This window comes from Homo sapiens, chromosome 6 (genome assembly GCF_000001405.40).
Source record: "Homo sapiens chromosome 6, GRCh38.p14 Primary Assembly".
Taxonomy (NCBI): Eukaryota; Metazoa; Chordata; class Mammalia; order Primates; family Hominidae; genus Homo; species Homo sapiens.
The window spans coordinates 36570977-36577751 of NC_000006.12; the positions used below are offsets into that span (position 1 = coordinate 36570977).

Consider the following 6775-nt stretch of genomic DNA (forward strand, 5'->3'; position numbering starts at 1 on the left):
GCTAGTCTCGAACTCGCGACCTCAGGTGATCCACCCGCCTCAGCCTCCCAAAGTGCTGGGATTACAGGTGTGAGCCACTGCGCCCGGCCGAGACCCCCATCTCTAAATTAGCCAGGTGTGATGGTGCATGGCTGTAGTCCCAGCTACTCAGGAGGCTGAGGGAGGATCGCCTGAGCCCAGGAGTTTGAGGCTGCAATAAGCTGTGATCGTGCCACTGCACTCCAGCCTGGGTGACAGCAAGACCCTGTCTTAAAAATAATACTATAATAATAATAATAACTGACATATAAAGAATGGCACATTTTAAAAGGGTACTGTATTCATAATTTTATATTGCTGATGTAACAAATTATCACAAACAGTGGTTTAAAACAGTACAAATTTATTATCTTACAGTTCTATAGGATTAGAAGTTCAACACGGATCTTATTGGGTTCAAATCAAGGTGTCAGCAGGGCTGCATTTCTATGCTGAGGCTCTGAGGCAGAATGTATTTCTTGCTTTTTCTTGCTCTTAGAGGTTGCCCACATTCCTTGGCTCATGGCCCCTTCCTCCATCTTAAAAGTCAGCAATGTTGCATCTCTCTGACTCTTCCTTTTTTTTTTTTTTTGAGACAGGGTCTCACTGTTGCCCTGGCTGGAATGCAGTAGCACAATCACAGCTCACTGCAGCCTTGACCTCCTGGGCTCAAGCAATCCTCCCACCTCAACTTCCTGAGTAGCTGGGACTACAGGTGTGTGCCATCATGCCTGGCTAATTTTTGTATTTTTTGTAGAAATGGGGCTTCACCATGTTGCCCAGACTGGTCTCAAACTTCTGAGCTCAAGTGATCCACTAGCCTCAGCCTCCCAAAGTGATGGGGTTATAGGCATGAGTCACCACAAATGGCTTTCAACTCTGTTTTTGAAGCCTTTCAACTAATTGAATCAGACCCACTCAGACAATTGGATAATCTTTCTTACTGAAAGTCGACTGATTATGGAATTTACAGCTACAAAAGACTGTCACAGCAACACCTAGATTAATTTGGCTGAATAACTGGCACTATAGCCTAGCTAAATTGACACTTCAAAAGGACGATCACAGGTACAATTTGATAAGTTTTGACATACAGGCATGCACTGCGTGACAACATTTCAGTCAAAGACAGGCCACATATAAGATGGTGGTCTGGACGGGTGTGATGGCCCACGCCTGTGATCCCAGCACTTTGGGAGGCCGAGGCGGATGATTTACCTGAGGTCAGGAATTCAAGACCAGCCTGGCCAACATGGTGAAACTCCATCTCCACTAAAAATACAAAAAAATTAGACGGGCATGGTGGCACATACCTGTAATCCCAGCTACTCCAGAGGTTGAGGCAGGAGAATCACTTGAATCCAGGAGGCGGAGGTTGGAGTGAGCCGAGATTGCACCACTGCACTGTAGCCTAGGTGACACAGTGAGACTCTGTCTCAAAAAAAAAAAAAAAAACCACACACACACACAAACACACAAAAGATGGTTGGGCGTGGTGGCTCATGCCTGTAATCCCAGCCCTTTGGGAGGCCGAGGCCGGTGGGTCACCTGAGGTCAGGAGTTCAAGACCAGCCTGGCCAATATGGCGAAACCCCGTCTCTACTAAAAATGCAAAAATTAGCCGGGCATGATAGCAGGCACCTATAATCCCAGCTACTTCAGAGGCTGAGGCAGGAGAATCATTTGAACCTGGGAGGGGGAGGTTGCAGTGAGCTGAGATCATGCCACTTCACTTAAGCCTGAGCAAAAGAGCAAAGGTCCATCTCAAAAAAAAAAAAAAAAGATGGTGGTTTCTCCCATGAGGTTATAAAGGAGTTGAAAAATTCCTATCACCTAGTGATGTCATGGTCATTGCAATGTTGTAGCACAATGCCTTACTCATGTGTTTGTGTGATGCTGGTGTAAACAAACCTACTTATAAAAGTAGCATGCCTGGCGCTATGGCTCATTCCTGTAATTCCAGCACTTTGAGAGACCGAGGCAGGAGAATGGCTTGAGTCTAGGAGTTTGAGACCAGCCTGGGCAACACAGGGAGACCCCATCTCTACAAAAACAAAACAAAAAAAAATTAGCTTGGCCTGTTGGTACATGCTGTAGTCCCAGCTACTCAGGAAGCTGAGGTGGGAGGATCCCTTGACCCCAAGGGTTCGAGGCTGCAGTGAGCTATGATTGCGCCACTGCTTTCCAGCCTGGGCAACAGAGTAAGACCCTGTCTCTTAAAAAAAGAAAAAAAAAAGGTATAAAAAGTAAAAAAAAAAAAAAAAAAAGTTATAGTAAGGTAAGGTTAACTTATTACTGAAGAAAGAAAAATAAATAAATAAATCTAGTGTAGCCTAAGTGTACAGTGTTTATAAAGTCTGCAGTAGTGTCCTAGGTCTTCACACTCACTCATTGACTCACCCAGAGCAACTTCCAGTCCTGCAAGCCCCGTTCCTGACACATGCCCTACAGAAGTGTGCAATTTTAAAATCTTTTTTACTGTGTTTTTGTGTACCTCTCCTGTGTTAAAATATGTCTAGATACACAAATACCATTGTGTTAAAATTTCCTGTAGTATTCAGTAAGTAACATGCTGCATAGGTTTGTAGCCTAGGAGGAATAGGCTATACCATATAGTCTAGGTATGTGATAGGCTATACCATCTAGGTTTGTGTAAGTACATTCTTTTTTTTTTTTTTTTTTTTGAGACAGAGTCTTGCTCTGTCGCCCAGGCTGAGTGCAGTGGCACAATCTCAGCTCACTGCAGCCTCTGTCCCCCAGGTTCCAGCGATTCCCCTGCCTCAGCCTCCTGGGTAGCTGGAATTACAGGCACTCGCCACCATACCTGGCTAATTTTTGTATTTTTAGTAGAGACGGGGTTTCGCCATATTGGCCAGGCTGGTCTCAAACTCCTGATCTCAGATAATCTGCCCGCCTTGGCCTCCCAAAGTAGTGGAATTACAGGTGTAAGCCACCACGCCCGGCCTGTGTAAGTGCATTCTATGATGTTCCCACAATGAGGAAATCATCTGACAATGCATTTCTCAGAATGTACCTCCGTCCTTAAGCAATGCATGACTCTGTGTGTGTGTGTGTGTGTGTGTGTGTGTGTGTGTATTCCATCTCCCCCAATAGTTTTCTCTTGCCCCTTAATAATTCTTTGCTTCAGCTGAGTCTGGCCAAGATGGTGAAACCCCGTCTCTACTAAAAATACAAAAAGTAGCCAGGTGTGGTGGCAGGCGCCTGTAATCCCAGCTACTTGGGAGGTTGAGGCAGGGGAATCACTTGAACCCAGGAGGCGGAGGTTGCAGTGTGCCAAGATTGTGCCATTGCACTCCAGCCTGGGCAACAAGAGTGAAACTCTACCTCAAAAAATAAATAAATAAATAAATAATAATAACAATTCCTTGCTTCTGTTCCTCCCACTCCACATCCTCAAATAGCCACTAATCTGTTTCCTGTCACTATATATTAGTTTGCATTTCTAGAGTTTTATGTAAATGGAATCATGCACTTTTTTTGTCTGACTTCTTTCACTCAGCATATTTTAAGATTAATCAATGTTGTTGCATATAATAGTAGTTCATTCCTTTTATTGCTAAGTAGCATCCCAAATATGCCATATTATCCATTTACCTACTAAAAGATATTTGAGTTGATTCCCTTTTTTTTTTTTTTTTTTTTTGGCTATTACAAGTAAAGCTGCTATGAACATTCATGTACAAGTCTTTGTGTGGACATATGCTTTAATTTCTCTTGAGCAAATATCAAGAAGTAGAATGCCTGGGTCACAAAGTAAGTGTATGTTTAACTTTTTAAGAAATTGCCAAACTGTTTCCCAATGTGGCTGTACCATTTTACATTTATACCAGCAATGCTTGAGGGTTTCATTTCATCCATATCCTCACCAACACTTAGTATGGTCAGGCTTTCAAATTTTAATTTGACCTAATAGGTAGGTCACCTCATGATTTAAAAACCTATGGACAATCCTTGCTTGAAGGTTTGCAAAATGCTTGCAAAAAGCTTACAAAATGCTGATATTATATTTCTAACATTATTTCTATATTGATTACCTGGCATTCTTTGATAAAATAGAGCCTTATCTTATCCACTGACATGATATAGTTACCCTAAATATATTTCCCACTGTAAAGGAAGGTAAAATGTCTAATTCTTTCTTTTCTAATTACCAGTTTTCAAAATAAAGAGTTGTTTTAATCTTCACACACCTTTTTGATTCAGGTGGGTCATTCTTTTTCTCCCTCTCTCTTTTTTTTTTTTTTTTTTTGAGACAATCTTGCTCTGTTACCCAGGCTGGAATACAGTGGTGTGTGATCTTGGTTCACTGTAACCTCGACCTCCTGGGTTCAGGCAATTCTCATGCCTCAGCCACCCAAGTAGCTGGGATTACAGGCGTGCCCCACCATGTCCAGCTAATTTTTTGTATTTTTAGTAGAGATGGGGTTTTGCCATGTTGGCCAGGATGGTCTCGAACTCCCGGCCTCAAGTGATTCACCCGCCTCGGCCTCCCAAAGTGCTGGGATTACAGGCATGAGCCACTGTGTGTGGCCCTTAATTTTTATTTTTTTATTTTTATTCTTTTTTAAGACAGAGTCTCGCTCTGTCACAAAGGCTGCAGTGCAATGGCACAATCTTGGCTCACTGTAGCCTTGACCTCCTGGGCTCAAACAATCCTCTCACTGAGACCAGCACACCCAGCTAATTTTTGTCTTATTTGTAGAGACGCGATTTCACCACATTGCCCAGGTTGGTCTTAACTCCTGAGCTCAAGCAATTTACCTGCCTTGGCCTCCCAAAGTGTTGAGATTACAGGCATCAGCCCAGCTTTAGGTCATTCTTGTTTTCTCCTTTTGCATACAAAATATATGACAATGAGACTCAAAAGAGTTTAAAGAAGTTGCTCGGCCAGGCATGGTGGCTCACGCCTGTAATCCCAGCACTTTGGGAGGCCAAGACAGGCAGATCACGAGGTCAGGAGTTTGAGACCAGCCTGGCCAATATGGTGAAACCCCATCTCTAGTAAAAATACGAAAATTAGCCAGGAGTAGTGGCACGCACCTGTAATCCCAGCTACTAGGGAGACTGAGGCAGGAGAATTGCTTGAACCGGTGAGGCGGAGGTTGCAGTGAGCCAAGATTGCACCACCACACTCCAGCCTGGGTGACAGAGCAAGACTCCTCGAAAAATAAAAATAAAAAAGGAGTTTCTCAAGGTTTTAATCCCAGCCAACAACCAAGAATCCTGATAAGAATTTGCTTCTAAAATAAAAGCTCTCGGTTGGGTGCGGTGGCTCACATCTGTAATCCCAGCCCTTTGGGAGACCAAGGCAGGATCACTTGAGATCAGGAGCTCAAGACTAGCCTGGCCAACACGGTGAAACCTCGTCTCTACTAAAAATACAAAAATTAGCCGGGTGTAGTGGTACACGCCTGTAATCCCAGCTACTCGGGAGGCTGAGACACGAGAATTGCTTGAACCCAGGAGGCGGAGGTTGCAGTGAGCCAAGATCCTGCCACTATGCTCCAGCCTGGGCGACACTGCAAGACTCTGTCTCAAATAATAATAATAATAATAATAAATAAAATAAAAGCTCTCAGTTGCCAAGGTATTTTGAAGATTTGTAGCTGCATGCCTGTTACTGGACACCTGCTTCCTAGTAACATGGTCAGAGGCTAGTGAGAAACGTCTCACCTCCCTGCCGTGAACTCCCTCATCTCGGCAAGGCCTCTACAGTCCTGTGTCTCACAGGCTGTTGTGTTCCCCTTTCCAGCACCTGCTGGTATAAGGCAGAAACTGAACACTGTTACCCAACAGGCCTTTCTCATGAAAGCCCTGTTCATTGATTTCTGTTTTTCTTTCAGAAATTAGAATTAATTAGACCTCCTGGGCTCTTTTCCAAGCAAAAATAGAGGTAGAAAGTAGTGGCTGGGCGCGGTGGCTGATGCCTGTAATCCTAGCACTTTGGGAGGCCGAGGCGGGTGGATTGCCTGAGCTTAGGAATTCAAAACCAGCCTGGGCAACACGGTGAAACCCCGTCTCTACTAAAATACAAAAAATTAGCCGGGTGTGGTGGAGTCCGCCTGTAATCCTGGCTACTCGGGAGGCTGAGGCAGAAGAATTGGTAGAACCCAGGAGGCGGAGTTTGCAGTGAGCTGAGATCGTGCCACTACACTCCAGCTTGGGCGACAGAGCAAGACTCCATCTCTAAAAAAAAAAAAAAAATTAGCAAGTGGCAGAAAAGCAAGGAATCTGAGAGAGGGACTAGATGGTGGAGTCAGCAAGGGACTCAGAATCTAAGTGGGAGGGAGTTTCTGAGCCTGCCCTGGCTCAGAAGGCTGTCCATGGGAAAAAAAAAAAAAAAAAGAAGAAGAAGCTAAAGGGTGGACAGGGTGATGGGAAGGCTCTGGAACAGAGGTAGCAATTATTAAAATATTTAAATAGTTGTGTGTTCATTGGTAGACAGCAGCTGCTCTGAGACCTCAAGCCAGTGCTTATCTTCCACCCACCCCCGGCACCCAGTCTCTTCTCTTGCCACCCTCTGATGACTGTTTTGATTAGTTAGGATCCAGGCTGAACTGTGGTTAAATATTTTGAATAACTTCCCTGGGTGTGGACACAAACCAGACTGGAATTCTAACTAGTGTGACCTGGCAACGGTATTCTTTTTTTTTTCTTTCTTTCTGAGATGGAGTCTCCCTCTGTTGCCCAGGCTAGAGTGCAGTGGCGCGATCTCGGCTCACTGCAACCTCCTCCT

At 44.4% G+C, this 6775-nt stretch overlaps 2 annotated features.

The window, feature by feature from the left end:
- Positions 782 to 982: a silencer, noted in NCBI's record as "peak5784 fragment used in MPRA reporter construct". NCBI's record gives its function as "represses an SCP1 promoter by STARR-seq MPRAs in K562 erythroleukemia cells {active_cell/tissue: K562}" and the evidence as "EXISTENCE:reporter gene assay evidence [ECO:0000049][PMID:32103011]".
- Positions 5629 to 6572: an enhancer, noted in NCBI's record as "H3K27ac-H3K4me1 hESC enhancer chr6:36544382-36545325 (GRCh37/hg19 assembly coordinates)". NCBI's record gives its function as "activates a minimal SCP1, AML or CMV promoter by ChIP-STARR-seq in primed H9 embryonic stem cells {active_cell/tissue: H9 hESC(primed)}" and the evidence as "EXISTENCE:reporter gene assay evidence [ECO:0000049][PMID:30033119]".